Source organism: Homo sapiens, chromosome 5, assembly GCF_000001405.40.
Source record: "Homo sapiens chromosome 5, GRCh38.p14 Primary Assembly".
Taxonomy (NCBI): Eukaryota; Metazoa; Chordata; class Mammalia; order Primates; family Hominidae; genus Homo; species Homo sapiens.
This window is the reverse complement of record NC_000005.10, coordinates 87,009,340-87,028,858: the sequence shown is the minus strand read 5'-3', so window position 1 is coordinate 87,028,858 and position 19,519 is coordinate 87,009,340. Positions and strand designations below refer to the sequence as shown.

At 37.4% G+C, this 19,519-nt stretch overlaps 2 annotated features.

The window, feature by feature from the left end:
• Nucleotides 8,379-8,498: an enhancer, noted in NCBI's record as "active region_22747". NCBI's record gives its function as "activates an Ori minimal core promoter by ATAC-STARR-seq in GM12878 lymphoblastoid cells {active_cell/tissue: GM12878}" and the evidence as "EXISTENCE:reporter gene assay evidence [ECO:0000049][PMID:35858748]".
• Nucleotides 8,529-8,588: an enhancer, noted in NCBI's record as "active region_22746". NCBI's record gives its function as "activates an Ori minimal core promoter by ATAC-STARR-seq in GM12878 lymphoblastoid cells {active_cell/tissue: GM12878}" and the evidence as "EXISTENCE:reporter gene assay evidence [ECO:0000049][PMID:35858748]".

The following is a 19,519-nucleotide window of genomic DNA, read 5'->3' as shown; positions in this document are numbered from 1 at the left end:
AAGTTCACCCACAAAGGGAAGCCCATTAGACTAACAGTGGACCTTTCAGCAGAAACCCTACAAGCCAGAAGAGATTGGGGGCCAATATTCAACATTCTTAAAGAAAAGAATTTCTAACCCAGAATTTCATATCCAGCCAAACTAAGCTTCATAAGCGAAGGAGAAATAAAATCCTTTTCAGACAAGCAAATGCTGAGGGATTTCATCACCACCAGGCCTGCCTTGCAAGAGCTCCTGAAGGAATCACTAAACATGGAAAGGAAAAACTGTTACCAGCCACTACAAAAATACATCAAAGTACGCAGACCAATGACACTATGAAGCAACTACATTAACAAGTCTGCAAAATTAACCAGCCAGCATCATGACAGGCACAAATTAACACCTAAAAATATTAACCTTAAATTTAAATGTGCTAAATTCCACAATTAAAAGACAAAGAATGGAAAGCTGGATAAAAAGACAATACCCATCAGTGTGCTGTATTCAAGAGACACATCTGATGTGCAGACACACATAGGCTCAAAATAAAGGGATAGAGGAAAATTTACCAAGCCAATGGAAAGCAGAAAAAAGCAGGGGTTGAAATTCTAGTTTCTGACAAAATAGACTTTAAGCCAACAAAGGTCAAGAAAGACAAAGAAGGGCATTACATAATGGTAAAGGGCTGAATTCAACAAGAAGAGCTAACTATCCTAAATATATATGTACCCAATACAGGAGCATGCAGATTCATAAAACAAATTCTTAAAGACCTTCAAAGAGACTTAGACTCTCACACAATAATAGTGGGAGACTTTAACGCCCCACTGCCAATATTAGATAGATCATCAAGACAGAAAATTAACAAAGATATTCAGGACTTGAACTCAGCCTTGGATCAAGTGGACCTGAGAGATATCTACAGAACTCTCCACCCCAGAACAACGGAATATACATTTTTTTTTCTCAGTGCCACTTGACACTTACTCTAAAATGATATAATTGTAAGTAAAACACTTCTCAGCAAATGCAAAAGAACTGAAATCATAACAGTCTCTCAGATCACAGCACAATCAAATTAGAACTGAAGATTAAGAAACTGACTAAAAACCACAAAAGTACATGGAAACTGAACAACCTACTTCTGAATGACTCCTGGGTAAATTAATGAAATTAAGGCTGAAACCAAGAAGTTCTTTGAAACTAATGAGAACAAAGAGAAAATGAACCAGAACCTCTGGGATGGAGCTAAAACAGTGTTAAAAAGGGAATTTGTAGCACTAAATATTCACATCAAAAAGCTAGAAAGATCTCATATCGACATCCTAACATTACAACAAAAAGAACTAGAGAAACAAGAGAAACAAACCCCAGAGCTAGCAGAAGACAAGAAATAACCAAGCTCAAAGTGGAACTGAAGGAGACAGAGACATGAAAAAACCCTTCAAAAAAACAAAAATCGATGAATCCAGGAGCTAGTAAAAAAAAAAAGTCAATAAAATAGATCATCCACTAGCTAGACTAATAAAGAAGAAAAAAAGAGAAGATATAAAGAAACATAAGCAGAAATGATAAGGGGGAATGTCACCACTGACCCCACAGAAATACAAACAACCATCAGAGAATACTATACACATCCCTATGCATATAAACTAGAAAATCTAGAAGAAATGGATAAATTCCTGGACACATATGCCCATTTAAGACTGAACCAGGAAGAAGTTGAATCCCTGAATAGACCAATAACAAGTTCTGAAATTGAGTCAGTAATAAATAGCCCACCAACCAAAAAAAGTCCAGGACCAGATGAATTTACAGCTGAATTCTACCAATGGTACATTTATCTGAAACTATTCCAAACAACTGAAAAGGATAGACTTCTCCCTAACTCATCTTATGAGGCCAGCATCATACTGATACCAAAACTTCACAGAGATACAACAAAAAAAGAAAAGTTCAGGCCAATATCCCTGATGAACATTGATGCAAAAATCATCAATAAAATACTCACAATCCTCGAAATGGTAAAAGCTATCTATGTCAAACCTACAGCCAATATCATACTGAATGGGCAAAAGCTTGAAGCATTCCCCTTGAAAACTGGCACAAGACAAGGATGCCCTCTCTCACCACTTCTATTCAAAATAGTATTGGAAGTTCTGGCCAGGGAAATCAGGCAAGATAAAGAAATAAAGAGTATTTAAATAGGAAGAGAGGAAGTCAAATTGTCTTTGCTTGCAGATGACATGTTCCTATATCTGGAAAACCGCATCATCTCAGCTGCAAAGCTTCTTAAGCTGATAAGCAACTTCAGCAAAGTCTCAGGATACAAAATCAATGTGCAGAAATCACAAGCATTCCTATACACCAAAAACAGACAAGCAGAGAGCCAAATCATGAATTAACTCTGATTCACAATTGCCAGAAAGAGAATAAAATACCTAGGAATACAGCTAACAAGGGAAATGAAGGACATCTTCAAGAACTACAAGCCACTGATCCAAGGAAATTAGAGAAGACACAAACAGGTGAAAAAACATTCCATGCTTATAAATATGAAAATCAGTATAATGAAAATGGCCATACTCCCCAAAACAATTTATAGATTCATGCTATTCTCATTAAACTACCATTGATATTCCTCACAGAATCAGAATAAACTATTTTAAAATTCATGTGGAACCAAAACAGGAGCTCCTATAGCCAGGACAATCCTAAGCAAAAAGAACAAAGCTGGAGGCATCACGGTACCCAACTTCGAACTATACCAAAAGGTACAGTAACCAAAATAGCATAGTACTGGTACAAAAACAGGCACATAGACCAATGGAACAGAACAGAGAACTCAGAAATAAAACTGCACATCTACAACCATCTGATGTTGGACAAACCTGACAAAAACAAGCAATAGGAAAATAATTCCCTATTTAATAAATTGTGCTGGGAGAACTGGCTAGCCATATGCAAAAAATTGAAACTGGACCCCTTCCTTACACTTTATACAAAAATTAACCCAAGATATATTAAGTACTTAACTGTAAAACCCAAAACTATAAAAACCCTAGAAGAAAATCTAGGCAATACCACTCAGGACATAGGCATGAGCAAAGATTTTATGATGAAATCACCAAAAGCATTTGCAACAGGCTGGGCATGGTAGGTCATGCCTATAATCCAAGCACTTTGGGAGGCTAAGGCTGACAGATCACTTGACCTCAGGAGTCTGAGACCAGCCTGGCCAACATGGCAAAACCCTGTCTCTACTAAAAACACAAAATTAGCCAGGCATATTGATGCATGCTTGCAATTCCAGTTACTTGGGAGGCTGAGGCACGAGAATAGCTTGAACTCAGGAGGTGGAGGTTGCAGTGAGCTGAGATCATGCCACTGCACTCCAGCCTCGGTGATGGCGTTACTCTGTCTAAAAAAACCCAATAATAACAACAATAACAAAAAGCAAGCAATGGGGAAAGGATTCCGTTTAATAAATGGTGCTGGGAGAACTGGCTAGCCATATGCCGAAAATTGAAACTGACCTCTTTTTTACACTTTATACAAAAATTAACTCAAGATAGATTAAAGACTTAAATGTAAAGGCCAAAACTATAAAAACCCTAGAAGAAAATCTAGGCAATACCATTCAAGACATAGGCATGGGCAAAGATTTTATGATGAACTCGCCAAAAGCAATTGCAACAAAAGCAAAAATTGACAAATGGGATCTAATTAAACTAAAGAGCTTCTGCACAGCAAAAGAAACTATCATTAGAGGGAACAGACAATCTACAGAATGGGAGAATTTTTTTTCAATGTATCCATCGGACAAAGGTCTAATATCCAGAATCTACAGGGAACTTAAACAAATTTATAAGAAAACAAGAAACAACCCCATTAAAAAGTGTGCAAAGGACATGAACACACTTCTCAAAAAAAAGACATACATGGGGCCAACGAACATGAAAAAATGCCTAACATCACTAATCATCAGGGAAATGCAAATCAAAACCTCGTTCCAGACAGAATAGTGATTACTAAAAAGTCAAGAAGCAACAGATGCTGTCAAGGCTGTGGAGAAATAGGAATTCTTCTACATTGTTTGTGGGAGTGTAAATTAGTTCAACCACTGTGGAAGACAGTGCGGTGATTCCTCAAAAATCCAGAGTCAAAGATAACATTTGACCCAGCAATCCCATTACTGGGTATGTACCCAAAGGAATAAAACAATTCTGTTATAAATATGCATGCATGCATTATGTTTATTGCAGCACCATTCGCAATAGCAAAGACATGGACTCAACCTAAATGCCCATCACTGATAGACTGGATAAAGAAAATTTGGTACATATACACCATGAAATACTATGCAGCCATAAAAGGAAATGAGATCATGTTCTTTGCAGGGACATGGATGAAGTTGGAAGCCATTATCCTCAGCAAACTAACGCAGGAACAGAATACCAAACATGGCATGGTCTCACTTATAAGTAAGAGCTGAACAATGAGAACACATGGACACAGGGAAGGAAACAACACACACTGGGACCTGTTGGAAGAGGACAGGGGGTAGGGAGAGCATCAATAAAAATAGCTAATGCATGCCACACTTAATACCTAGGTGATGGGTTGATAGGTGCAGCAAACCACCATGGCACACGTTTACCTATGTAACAAACCTGAACATCCTGCACATATACCCTGGAACTTAAAAATTAAAAAAACCCCAAAACCAAAAAAACCTTAGGAATATACCTAGCTAAGGAGGTGAAAGATCTCTCTAAGGAAAACTACACAGCACTGCTGAAAGAAATCATTGACAACACAAACAAATGCTCATGGATGGGTAGAATCAATATTGTGAAAATAACTATACTGCCAAGAACAAGATTCAATGCAATTCCCATCAAAGTACCATTATCATTCTTCACATCACTAGAAAAAACAATCCTAAAATTCATATGGAACCAAAACTGAGCTTGCGTAGTGAAAGCAAGACTAAGCAAAAAGAACAAATCTGGAGGCATCACATTACCTGATTTCAAACTATACTACAAGGGTATCGTCACCCAAACAGCATGGTACTGGTATAAAAATAGCCATGTAGACCAATGGAACAGAATAGAGAACCAAGAAATAAAGCCAAGTGTTTATAGTCAACTGATCCTCAACAAAGCAAACAAAACATAAGTATGGAAAGGACACCCTACTCAACAAAAGGTGCTAGGATAATTGGCAAGCCACATGTAGAAGAATGAAACTGGATCCTCATCTCTTACCTTATACAAAAATCAACTCAAGATGGATCAAATACTTAAATACAAGACCCGAATCCATAAAAATTCTGGGAGATAATATCATAAAAACTCTTCTAGACATTGGCTTAGGCAAAAAATTCATGACCTAGAATGCAAAAGCGAATGCAACAAAAACAAAAATAAACATATGGGACCTAATTAAACTATAAAGCTCCTGTACAGCGAAAGAAACAATCTGCAGAGTACATGGACAACCCACAGAATGAGAGAAAATATTAGCAAACTATGCATTTGATGAAGGACTAATATCTAGAATCTACAAGGAACTCAAACAAATCAGCAAGAAAAAAACAAATAATCCCATCAAAAATTGGGTTAAAGACATGAATAGACAATTCTCAAAAGAATATATATAAGTGGCCAACAAATATGAAAAAATGCTCATTATCACTAATTATCAGGGAAATACAAACTAAAACCACAATGAGATACCACTTTACTCCTGCAAGAATGGTCATGATTAAAAAAAAAAAATAGATGTTGGTGTGGAGGGAACACATCCCATGCTCATGTATGGGTAGAATCCATATTGTGAAAATAACTTTTACACTGCTGGTGGGAATGTAAACTAGTATAACCACTATGGAAAACAGTATGTTGATTCCTTAAAGAACTAAAAGTAGAACTACCATTTGACTCATCAATTCCAGTGTTAGCAGTGTCAAATCTGTATGGATCTGCAGCAACCTCAGTTCTTGCCTCCTCAGAAGAAAGAATTTGACTGAGCAGCATAAGGCAGAAGGAGAGACTGATGCAAGTTTTAGAGCACGAGCAAAAGTTTATTAAAAAGCTTTAGAGCAGGAACAAAAGGAAAGAAAGTATACTTGGAAGAGGGCCAAAAAAGTGACTAGAAAGACAAGTGCACGGTTTGACTTTTTGACTTAGGGTTTTATATGTTGGCATACTTCCAGGGTCTTCTGTTTCTTTTTCCCTGATTCTTCCCTTGGGGCGGGCTGCCCGCATGTGCAGTGGCCTGCTAGCACTTGAGAGGTGAGCATGTGCAGCGTGTTTACTGGAGTCGAATGCATGCTCACTTGAGGTGTTCTTCCCTTATTGGTGGAATGTCTCTGAGTCATATACAGTAAACTCCACCATTTTGCCTCTTATTGCACATGCTCAAGCCCACTCACCCAACTCCTGAGATCTTATTGGAGAGCTGCTCATCACCAGTTTCAGGTTTTTTCTATCTATAGGGAGACTGCCTTTTCCTGGTGCTGGCTGTGACCAATTATTTTCGAGAGATGGTTAACAACTGCCTGACCATCACCTGATTGTCACTTGACGTTCCTGGTGGGGTTTGGGGGAGCCCTCTCCTGCCATGCTCATGCCTGTCCCTAGCTACCTACTATAATGCCACTACTGGGTATCTACCTAGAGGAAAGAAGTTATTATATGAAAACGACACTTGCAGATGCATGTTTATAGCAGCACAATTTGCAATTGCACAAATATGGAACCAGCCTAAATGCCCATCAACCAATGAGTAGATAAAGAAAATGTGGTATATATACAATATAGAATACTACTCAGCCATGAAAAGGAACAAAATAATGTCATTTGCAGCAATCTGGATGGAGTTGGAGACCATTATTCTAAGTGAGGTAACTCAGGAATGGAAACCCAAATATCATGTGTTCTCACTTATAAGTGGGAGCTAAGCTATATGAATGCAAAGGCATAATAATGGTATAATGGACTTTAGGGACTCAAAAGGAAGGTTGGGAGGAGGGTGAGGGATAAAAGACCGTACATTATGTATAGTTTACACTGCTCAGGTGACAGGTGCACCAAAATATCAGAAATTACCACTAAAGAACTTATCTATGTAACCAAAAACCACCTGTTTTCCAAAAAAAAAAAAAACTACTGAAATAAAAAAAAACTACTGAAATAAAAAAAAACTACTGAAATAAAAAAAAAAAAAAAAGATGTCGACATCTGCCACTGACTCTACTGCCAGATTTCTGTGAATAGATAATGTTTCTGTTACAACTGAGTCAAATCCCTCCCTATTTAATAGTATGGCGGGTTGAATTGTGTCCATGAAAGACATGTTGAAGTCCTAACTTATGGTACTTCTGAATGTAGGTCTGCAAATAGGGTCTTTGCAGATGTTATCAACTCAAGATGAGGTTATCTGGATTAGGATGTCACCCAAAGACTGGGATCTTTATCAGAGAAAGGAGAAAGATATTTGAAAACAGAGACAGGGAGACATACAGAAGGAAGAGAGCTATGTGACCACCAAGGCAGAGATTGGAGTGACTGCAGGAGTCATCAGAAATTAGATGTCAAAGAAAAATGCTTCTTTAGAACCTTCAGAGGGAGTGCAACACTGCTGACACCTTTATTTTGGACTTATAGCCTCCAAAACTGTGAGATCATAAATTTCTGTTGTCCTAAAAAATATTTAAAAGAAATCACAAAACAAAAATCAAATTAACTCAAAAGTAAGAAGAAACAATAAAAATAAAGGAATGAATCAATGAAATTAACAGCAGCAAAATATTAGAGAAAATTAATGAAGCCAAAACTTGGTTTCTGGACAAATAAGTGAAATTGGTAAGTCTTTACCTATATTTATCAAGAAAAAAACCTGAAAGGAACTCAATTGCCAATATCAGGAATTTTACCCCAAGATGGTGGATTAAAGGCTTTTAGCATACCTTGTCTACTTGGAAATAGCAAAATCGTGCATCTAAATTAACACTGTGAGGATTTATTCAAGAAGAAATATTAAGAATTCACCAAAAAAGTGAAGGATACTTCAGACACTTGGGAAAGAGAAGGTAGGCAAGCAGCCTGTGTGGCAGTGTTTGGCTGAGGAAAGTGTGTGAAGCCCCGATATGTGAGAGGGGGAGTTTTCTTCTGTCACTCACCTTTCCACTGGCTGTTTATGTAACCCAGGCTATGGGAGAGCAACTTGTTTCTCCCAAACCCTGAAGCTAACTTGGGGAGAGTCTGGGAGACTGAGAGAGAAAAAGGACACTGGAAAAAGCTGCAGGCATTTCCCAGACCTAGGGCTGAGAGGAAGATTCTGTTTTCAATCTGGGCTCATACTAAGTCAGTCATTATTTGATAAGCTGGCAGTGGTGGCTGCTGCAGGCATTTTAGTCTCTGGCCAGAGATTGGAGTACTTGGTTTGCAGAAGGAGACCAGAATGAGTATGGGGTGTGCTCCAGCCATTGCAGCTGGAACTGGGCTCTCTCACATCACAGGACGGAAGTGGGAGGAGACTTGCTGAAGCTGCAGTTTCTCCCAGGCAGTGAGATTTGCAGCCAGAAACAGCTTTGTGACCTGGGACTAGTCTGTGTGTGACATTGTTGGGTGCCCCAGCCTGCTGCCTTAGTCACCTTAGTCAGTTGAGGGAGTGAGCCCTACCGGTTCTGAGGAGAGGGAGGGAGGTGGTTCCCTCTCCACAGACTGGATTGGGAACATGGGCCACCCCTCCCTTCCTGTGCAGAGGTGGCTTCTCTACTCCTTGCCTGGTTATATCTCCAGGCATTTTTGCCTCCAGGCATTTGGTGTACCTGCTCCCACCCCTGCAGGGTTACTTGCCCTCTCTCCAGACTTGAGCTGAGACTGGTCCCACCCATCGTGGGACTCTGTCCTGCCCGGGCAGTCTTAGGCTTTCTATTTTTGCATCACTCAATCCTGAACAGACATTCACCAGAATGTGCTCAGACTGTGCTCAATTCTGACAACCACAAAAGGCTGACAGGATTCAGGGGAGCTGCAGAATTCCTGGAGGTCTAACAATTAAAGCAGATTGTCCCTGGGGGAGGAAGAGTACAGCACAACAAAGCACCCCTTGGGACAAAGGAGATTAGGGTGGCACTCTCCTGTGCTCTAAAGCTACTTGCTTGGGAGCTGAAAGTGATTTCATACCTCCCAGCACAGATGCAGGTGCAGCTCTGGGCTCTGTATGGGAGGATCATGGTTTTATCTCAGTGGCCAGGTGGCACCCGTGCTCAGAAACAGATATAAGAGGGGGACTTCTCCTCCCAGCTTCCCCCACCCACTGCTGCACACATAGCCTTGGCTATTCTCTCTTTTTTCTTTTCTTTTCTTTTCTTTTCTTTTCTTTTCTCTCTCTCTCTCTCTCTCTCTCTCTCTCTCTCTCTCTCTCTCTCTTTCCTTTTCTTTTCTTTTCTTTTTCTTTTCTTTCTTTCTTTTTTGAGACGGAGTCTCGCTCTGTCGCCCAGGCTGGAGTGCAGTGGCGCGATCTCGGCTCACTACAACCTCCGCCTCCCGGGTTAACGCCATTCTCCTGCCTCAGCCTCTCCGAGTAGCTGGGACTACAGGCGCCCGCCACCACGCTCGGCTAATTTTTTGTATTTTTAGTAGAGACGGGGATTCACCGTGGTCTCGATCTCCTGACCTCGTGATCCACCCGCCTCGGCCTCCCAAAGTGCTGGAATTACAAGCATGAGCCACCGCGCCCGGCAGCCTTGGCTATTCTTATGGGAGGTTGGTACAGTTGCACCTGTGGATGGCCATTCCAAGGCTATAATGGGCACTGCAACCCCATGGGTGGTGTGCCCACTGGGCTGGGCTTACAGAGTGGGCAGGGCCCTTCTCCCTCTCTACATGGAGCGGCTGCAGGAATGCTAATCAGACGAGCTGCAAAGCTATCTATGTTGCGCTGAGGGAAAAGGTCTTTCCTGAGGCCAATCTGTTGGAAAGCAACGGTACAGGTATTTTCCGTGACCCTCAGCTGCATGGCAGCCTCGAGATCAATGACAGTGTCCATCTGAACTGAAAGTGACAAGCCCCAGGATAGAGGTGGGGCTGGTACAGCAAGGTGACCCTCATCCCACACCCCCCACCACACACACTGTGGACCTAGATCTACTCATCTTTGTCCCCCATTCCTGGGCCTGCATGGAACTCAGGGAACTGGGCATTTCACAGACCAAACCACTGCCTGAGACAACAGAGAGTCTCTTCCAGTAAAGAAAGATCAAGCACATACCCATCAGTTTCTGCTGCAAGTGGGATAACTGGCTAGCCATAGGCAGAAGATTGAAACTGGACCCCTTTCTTACATCATATACAAAAATTAACTCAAGAAGGATTAAAGATTTAAATGTAAAACCCAAAATCTATAAAAAGCCTGGATGACCACGTATGCAATACCATTCAGGACATAGGCATGGGCAATGATTTCATGACAAAGACGCCAAAAGCAATTGCAACAAAAGCAAACACTGACAAACGGGATCTAATTAAACTAAAGAGCTTCTGCAATGCAAAAGAAACTATCAACAGAGTAAACAGACAACCTACAGAATGGGAGAAAATTTTTGCAAACTATGCATCTGACAAAGGCCTAATATCCAGCATCTATAAGGAACTTAAACACATTTACAAGAGAAAAACCAAACAATCCCATTAAAAAGTGGGCAAATGACATGAACAGACACTTCTCAAAAGAAGACATACATGCTGCCAAAAATCATACGAGAAAAAGCTCAACATCACTGATCATTAGGGAAATGCAAATCAACACCACAATGAGATAGCCACTGACTGGTGTGAGATGGTATTACTAAAAAGTCAAAAAGTAACAGATGCTGGTGAGGTTGCAGAGAAAAAGGAAGCTTACACACTGTTGGTGGGAGCGTAAATTAGTTCAACCATTGTGGAAGACCGTGTGGTGATTCCTCAAAGACCTAAAGACAGAAATACCATTTGACCCAGCAATCCCATTATCAATGGTTTTGTAGGGTGGGATAACTGACAGCAAGAGATTAAGAAAAAAACTTTTTTTGGGTACCGAAAATGTTCTACATACTAGTTGTCTGGTACTTTTTCCTTTATATAAATTATATCTCAATAGTATTGATTATGGAAAATTTAAAAATATAATTACTGCAGAAGATGTGTTCACAGAAAAAAGGTTGCAAAGACTCAAATAAGTCAAATGCCATGAAAGACAGCCAGTAGATGTAAGATGTAGAGTAAATCACACACAATCTCAAACAAACTAGGGATTTGGATGGGGTATATGTCATAATTCTGTGGAGTAGAGACTTAAAATTCATTTCTTAAATCTATCAAATTGTCAGCTTTATTTGAGCAAACATGTGTATTTTAGTGGCTTTTGGAACATATGCTGCCTTGAAAAATAAATCTGCTTATGAAACAGAATATAACATGAGGCTACTTCAAGCATAACTAATAATATGTTTATGTGCCCTCCATGCATGTTGGAAAGCTAGGTGTACAACCACTTCATGAACAAATACTGAGGGACATTTTAATGTGTAACATGCCCTAATAAGTAGTTTGGAATAGTAAAAAATTAGTTGACTTAGCTCTTAAGCAGTGTTTAAGGTTAGTTAAAAACACCAAAATAAAAAAAATACCAAAGATATATTTTGTGTGCAGAATGCATGGGATGCACATGTGACAAAAGTTGTAGAAGTTCAGGAAAAGGGAGATCACTAGATGACTGTTTCCCAGAGTGTGAGACATGCACACTGGTAGTTCTCTGGATGAATTTATTTATATAATTCTTTTTAAGAAACATAGTCTTGCTCTGTCACCCAGGCTAGAGTGTAGTGGCATGATCATAGCTCACTGCAGACTTGGACTCCTGGGCTAAAGTGATCCTCTTGCCTTAGCCTCCAGAGTAGCTGGGAGGACAGGCATGAACCACCACGCGCTGCTAATTTTTAATTTTCTTTTTAGGTGGGGAGGGGCATCTCAATATGTTGCCCAATGCTGGTTTCAAACTCCTGGCCTCAAGTGATTATCCCATCTTGGCCTCCAAAACTGCTGGGATTACAGGCATGAGCCACCATGCCCAGCTCCCCTGGATGATTTTAGTTGTTTCAACAAATAAGTTTCAAACCAAGGAAATAATTCCCTTGGTCAATTCTCTTCTAATTCCCTGAAAATATGCCAAGGAAAAAGTCCAAATTTGATGCAATCACACCTTTAACGCATCCTTAATATTTTTTAACTTTTTCCTTCTTCTTTCTCTTTTTACAGTGAAAAAGCAGAATTAGGATCATGGCCTTTAGTAGGATGTAGTTTGTAGCAAGAATTTAAGAAAAAATAGTTTGCATCTTATTCTCTTTAGAGTTATTTTTTTGTTTTTTTATCAAATAATTGTTTTTGAGTCACTGTGTTTGTGTCTCATGTACAAACCTTCTACTATGTTCTGCTTCTTCCTCCTTTATATTATTTCAAAAATCTGTGAGGCCACAAACCAAAGCAGAATTATATAAGAACAACAAAACCAAAGCCAAAACTGTGTCAGCAACTTTTTATAAAAGAAAAACATTATTTGCAGGATTTAAAATCTATAACTTTATCATTCTCCAAGTTTTATACTGCTTTTATAAAAATGAAGCAAAATGGAACACACACACAAACACAATGCTTCAACAAAACAAAAACTCTTCCAACTTCTGCTTTAAAAATACTGACTATACTGGTTTGAGTCTGACTCATTGCTGATATTTTAAATTTAGGAAGTTGAACTTCTTTTGAAATAGTAGGAAAAGGTCAGTTTTTATCTTTGGCAGATTCTGATGTCACTAGGGTTAAATGTCTAAAATTCAAGTATCCATATTAAAGTTATCCAAATCGTAAGAAAAAGAACTAAATAGAACAAATAGAGTTAATAAATAATATTAAAAGCCACACATTACTAAAACCTTGGCTACCTATTGAAAATAAATTACTTTTCAAAATGACCTGTAATTTTTAATATGAATGGCTCATTCTAATGGTGATATTTATTTCACTTTTCTTTTTATTCCAAGAAACTAGTTTTCAAAACCTAATATACTGTTATATACTTAATGATGCCTCATAAATATCTTTGGCAAAGAAGTGAGATAGTTTCAGAAATTGATAAAGAGTTTTAGGAAATGTAGCTTGGCGCACAAGATAAAGCTTTACACTTGTCTCTGAATTTATCTTAGTAGCATTTTTCAAACAAGTCATCCATACAATATTTATCAATACTGTGTTCTATGATATGTATGCCTAACTAGAAACTTTGAGAAATTTCCTCCATTATGTAGTTTAGCTTTCACTTACTATATAAATTTGAGAAAGAAGGTTCTGATTTGGTAACTTACATTATTAAAAACTTATTTTAATTCCTTGGAAAGATCTTGCCCCTTCTGTTCTATTCTATGAAAAGTTGTGGGTGGCGTGTGGATTTCTTTCTCTGCTTTACTCAGCACAATCTTACTTTTCTAATATTTTCTGATGTTTATCTCAATCATTGTCCCGGAGAGATTCTCCCCTTTCTGCCACCTGCACCTAACAGGGGAATTTTTCCGAAGAACTTTTTTTTGTGGATTTATCTGCATCCATGGGGTACAGATTTTGTCATAATAAGTTTCAAGAAGAGAAGTAACTCTTATAACTCTAATGACTTTTAGTCTAAAATGAAAGTCTAATAAGAAAGTATTTTAATACACAAAATTATTTTAGCTCATTTTAGAACAGTCATTGTTATGTTGCCATATATAATATTGTGCTCACAAATCAGGCATGGTGGCTCATGCGTGTGATACCAGCACTTTGGAGGCCAAGGCAAGAGTATTACTTGAGCCCAGAAGTTCAAGGCTTTGGTGAGCTGTGATCATGCTACTGCATTCCAGCCTAGGTGACACAGTGAGACCCTGTCTTTAAAATAAATAAATATATATATAAAATATATATACACATATATACACACACATAGATGTATATATGTATATATATGTATATATGTATAAATATGTATACACACACAAAGACAGAGAGTGTGTATGCTTAAACTTAGTCAAGAAATAAGATTGAATATTAAAGAATATTGAATAGGCAGGAAAAATAATGCTAAACTCAGTCACAATATCCATTTCTAACTCTTGGGACTTGCAGTAGTCGTTAGGACAACTTTCTCCCTGCCCAAAGAATTTCAGTAACAACTGAGTTGATTTATTATGTAAGAGCTAAACTGTTTGAGACAGAAGCACTAGCTGATATTACATGAGAGGTCTGAAAATAAGGAAAACAGCAAAACTTGCTGAGGGAAAATACTACATAGTAATTGATAGGATTTCAATGTTTATTCACTTGTGGGGGGTAATTTTGTCACAGAGAAAAACATGCTCTTTAGGTTAAAAAACTATTTGAAATCAGTTTTACTTTATCTTTCATGATATTGAGTTTCTTTAAAGACTTCTTTCATTAGTTTAAGCCTTCTGTACCTTTTTTCTTGACATGAGTCTCAGTGTAAAGACTACATATTTAATTAAGCATGGTAATCTCCAGGAATCCTTTCATTGAAGAGTTGAGAAGATTGTCATATTTTATCAAGATAAAATTGATATTTTAAATTTAAATAAAATTTACGATTTCATGTTTTTACATACTATATAAAATATTAAACTAAAATATTACTTTTGTTATTTCAAACTTCTTACCGTATTTTTTCACATTGTTCAGAAAGTTGTGTCATGCTTATCCATCGATATTGTTCTTTTTTTGTATTTAGATGAGATATAGTTAATTTCACTGAGTAGGGACGAATAAACTGAAGAACTTATAGAAGTTAGAGAATCACTTTTTGATTACCAATGAGGACAAATTCAGACAAAATTTCTTTAAATAGTTGAATGACAGAGTTGGATAGAGTATAAGAAAGAATGCTTACCAGTAAGAATTTTCAAAATAAAAATGGTAAGTTTTGCTTTATCTTTCCAGGAGGTATTTAAAGTTGTTTTTCTCCTTGAAGGTGAGAATAAACATTATATACCCCTCTAGGTTTCTATCTAGTTTGCCTGTTAATTTCCTTGTAATTTAAGATCCTACTGAAACTGGAAATACAAAGAAGGAAAGACATAAGTCGAATTAACATTAATCATACTTTAAAGCACAATTGTTGAACAAAGATATAATTATATTTTAAAGCTCAAAGTATTTTTATATAGTCTTTATGCACCAAATTGAAACCTATATTTAAAAAAACTAGTTTATGTTTTTGACAATTATGTTTTAAATTTTTGTTTTTTTAGTGACTTATTTTTAGCTTTAAAGGAAAACTCTTTTACATGAAGATAAGTAAAACTGTTATAAAATGTTTGTATATTAAAAACTAGAGAGTAAAAAAGTATTTATTTATATAAAAGTCATTTAGTTAATATTTATGCTTTGTAATAAATAGTGCCCATAAGTTTTTCGGTAATGTTACATTGTAAGAAAAATAATTTTTATTATTCTGTATTATTATGCAATGTTCAATTGTATAATAAATCCTGAAATTCATTTTAGAATGAAACACCACACGGTGGCAGTGTTTACTAAGAAATTGCTGAAGTATGGGGTCATCACAGGGTTGAAAGTCCTTTATGCTGCTGTACCCTTTTGTGTCTGTAAAATTGGCCATCTATTTCAACTGTTAAAAATGAATACTAGGCCGGGCGCGGTGGCTCACGCCTGTAATCCCAGCACTTTGGGAGGCCGAGGCGGGAGGATCACAAGGTCAGGAGATCGAGACCACCCTGGCTAACACGGTGAAACCCCGTCTCTACTAAAAACACAAAAAAATTAGCCGGGCGTGGTGGCGGGCGCCTGTAGTCCCAGCTACTCGGGAGGCTGAGGCAGGAGAGTGGTGTGAACCCGGGAGGCGGAGCTTGCAGTGAGCCAAGATCGCGCCACTGCAGTCTGGGCGACAGAGCGAGACTCCGTCTCAAAAAAAAAAAAAAAAAAAAAGAAGAATACTAGATTCGTAAGGGTGGAAATGGTAGATACTTTTTTATTTATAAAATGTTTTATGTATTCAAAGCCTAGTGTGGTACCTTTCATAACAGCGAAAAAAAAGACAATATTGGATTTAGTTTGCTGATTCGTATTTTGTACATGTGCTTACAGATTAAAAAAACACCAGAAGAAAGTGCAGAATAAGTATTAGCTAGAGGTTAGAATTTGCCACCAAGGTGTATTTTAAATATTCAGAACAGTGGTTAGGTGAACAGCAGTGGGATGAACAGCCCAATGAGTATTTTGAAATGGGAAGCCATTTAAGCATAAATATAGTGGACTAATATCCACAAGCCACTGAAAGCGGAAGGACGAGACTGAGGAAATGCTGACACAGAACCTCTCTCCTCCTTTCTTGACTATTACACTCCCATCTTTGCCAAAAATCCATCACTGAATATTTCCTTGCCTGTTGAAATAATGAGTTCAACTGTTGAGACCTTAAAATGCACCTATATTTGGAAACATTTTCTTCATTTTTCACTTGGCTCTGTAGTAGGATAGCTTGTACACCTATCCTGCACAAAGCTGTGACTAAGTTGCTACTAGGTTTTATGATCTTAAGACTCTTCAAATAATGCAAATAATGCCCTTCTGCATTTATGTCATTTGTCCATTTAATTAATCCGTAAAACCAGTTATGAAGTGCTAGATTTGTTTAAAAAAAAAAAAAGGTAATTTTTACAAGCAATATAAAATGATTTCTGTGTGAAGGAATTAAATGTGAATGCCCTGGTGCTACTACACAAACTCCAACAGGTCAGGGATCTTAATTTGTTGAGCTCGCTGATGTATCCAAGCACCTACAAGGTGTTTGATGGAAGCAGGTGCTCAGTGAATATTATGAGTAAATGAAACAAATAAATCTGTGAACTTGTAGCAAAGTAACCAAATCACAAAGCTTTTTTTTGGATGAGGAATATAATGAAAGATAGCATGACATTGAAATAGGAGCTAGAAGAATGAATAAATAATTCACTTCATTTCTAAAATATAATTCCAATTTCTGGGTCTTCAGTAAATAGAAAATAAAAATTGTTTATAAAATTTTAAAGTCACATAGAGTAGGAGTTAACTGGAAATTGTAATTTAATAATCATCATATGTAAAATAAAGATATTGATCATAATCTCTATGAAGTTACATTATAAGAAGGATACAATTATTTTGAAGATTTTTTTTTGCACAAAGAAATAAAGAACAGTACAAGGTTATGGGTAGGAAAGAAGAGTCAGTGAATTTCAAACATTAATATTAATATGACCTGAATTGTGCCTTCTGGCTGTTAGAGCTTAAGGACTTTAATGCCCTTACTTCGATGTTGTTGGAATGATGCCAGTGATAAATGCTGGCATAATACTTACGGGCTAACTAATGAAATGTATTGACTGACTTAACTTCAATTATTTACCTTTTATTATGTATTCAATTTTGGTTGCTGTTCAGTTAGGCAGCTGTTTATTTTTATTATTTTTCTCTTTGATGATAAAATCCTCTCAATAATGAGCCCATCTCACTTGGATGGATATATGGAAGCTTTTTCCAAGTGGGTGGGGACAAAAAATTATAGTTTTCAGTCTCTGGCATGATAGTTATAGGTGGGAAGCAGGCACACGCTTCTTCCTGTTTGCTTTCCCATCCGTTTCTTTCTTTGTCCATTGGTCTCTGTTGACCTCTTGTTCTCATCCAACTATATAAGCTGGCTTCTCCCTTCTTCCTTAGAGATGATCGATTCCAAGGCAGCCTCATTTGAACAATAGCCTTTGCATCTTAATGGTAGGAACTCCAAAAACAAAAGGAATAAAATTCTTGTGAGACATATTGCTTAAGAGCACAGATTCGAGCTGACTTTCTGGACTGGAAATCCAACTCTACCACTGCCAGATGTGTAATTTTAGGCAAATTACTCAACCTCTTTGTGCCTTGGTTTTCTCATGTGTAAAATAGTAGCTAACTGGTGGCAGAATTGAATGAATTGTATAGGTAAAGCGTCTAGAATAGTGCCTGGTGCATAGCTAGCATTATTTGACTGTTGGCTCTCTTTGGGGCAGGATTTTTAGCAACATTGTGTAGGAGAGGTTGTAAGGACCTTAGAGTTTCCTAACATTTGTGACTTTAAATCACTAATAAGGTACTTGCTTTATCTGAGAATATGGCCTCAGGACTATACAAGTATTTGAAAGAATTTTTTTTTCCACAAAGAAATGAGAAACAGTATAAAGTCATTGTAGGAATGAAGAATCAGTGACTTTTGAACACTAATATTAATATAACCTGAGTTGTGCCTTCGGGCTGTTGGAGCTAGAGGATTTTGATGCTCTGACTCAGGTATCATTTGAATGATGCCAGTAATAAATTCTGGGATAATACTTAGGGGTTAACTATGCAACTGTAACTTGGGTTGGGTTATTATTACCTGCTCTTTCTGGTTTTGAAAGAGTTTAAGAGGCAACAGGTGTTTGGCCAGAACACTTCCTTTAATTCACAGAAATGAATGCTCTAAAAGTGTTTAAAGCTTTATTATACTGAAGCAATTTCTAATATTAAGAAATTAATCATATATTACTCCTCAAAATATTTTTTCAATAAGCAGTCACAAGATTTGCTATAGATAGATATATATTCACATATGTTTCTGATACTTAAACATAATGCTACAACTTCTCTAGAACATACTGGTGATCAAATGTGAATTTTTCTTTTAGGAGAAAAATTGATGCTTAATCTTATTATTCTTATTTGCATTTTTTCTATGTTAAAAAATTTAACTATTTTTAGTTGACATTAACTTGGCCTCTCTGCAAAATATGTTCTGTATTATTAAGATAATTTTATGTCCATTTGTTTATATTTATAGTTGCTAAATCTGTAACTTTCTAGTGCTTTTTTTTTTTTTTTTTTTTTTTTTTTGCAAAAGAAAGAGGGTCATGATGCAGGATCTGGGTGAAATTAGAGCAATAATATTCATGGAGAATGTGAAATAGTAGAAAAACAGAACAAAGACTTATGCTTAGCTATATCCTGGTGGCAAACTAAAGCACGGAGACTGTGTCCTAAGTCATAGCCAATCTTGTTCTCAGGACTAGTTACATGATTTCTGGGGCCCAGTTCAAAATAAAAGTGTAGGGCCCCTTGTTATAGAGTTACTAAGCGTTTCAAGATGGCAATGTCAGAGCATTAAGCTCAGCACAGAACAAACATCCACGAAGATGGCCCTTGTCCTTATATTGTGCCTGGAAAGTGTGGTAGGCTTTGAATTGCTCTTCCTTGCTCCTTCCTCTCAGAGAACAAATATCTTCAAAAATAAATGGGGTTTCTTTAAACTAAATATCTATTGTATGATGTCCAACTGCTGAGTTCTTGGCAGACACTGAGAACCTAATCTGTGATTACTTCCTTCGTGGTTTTAAAGTATGTTCTTAATACCAAATAGATGGTGTTTATTTATAGTT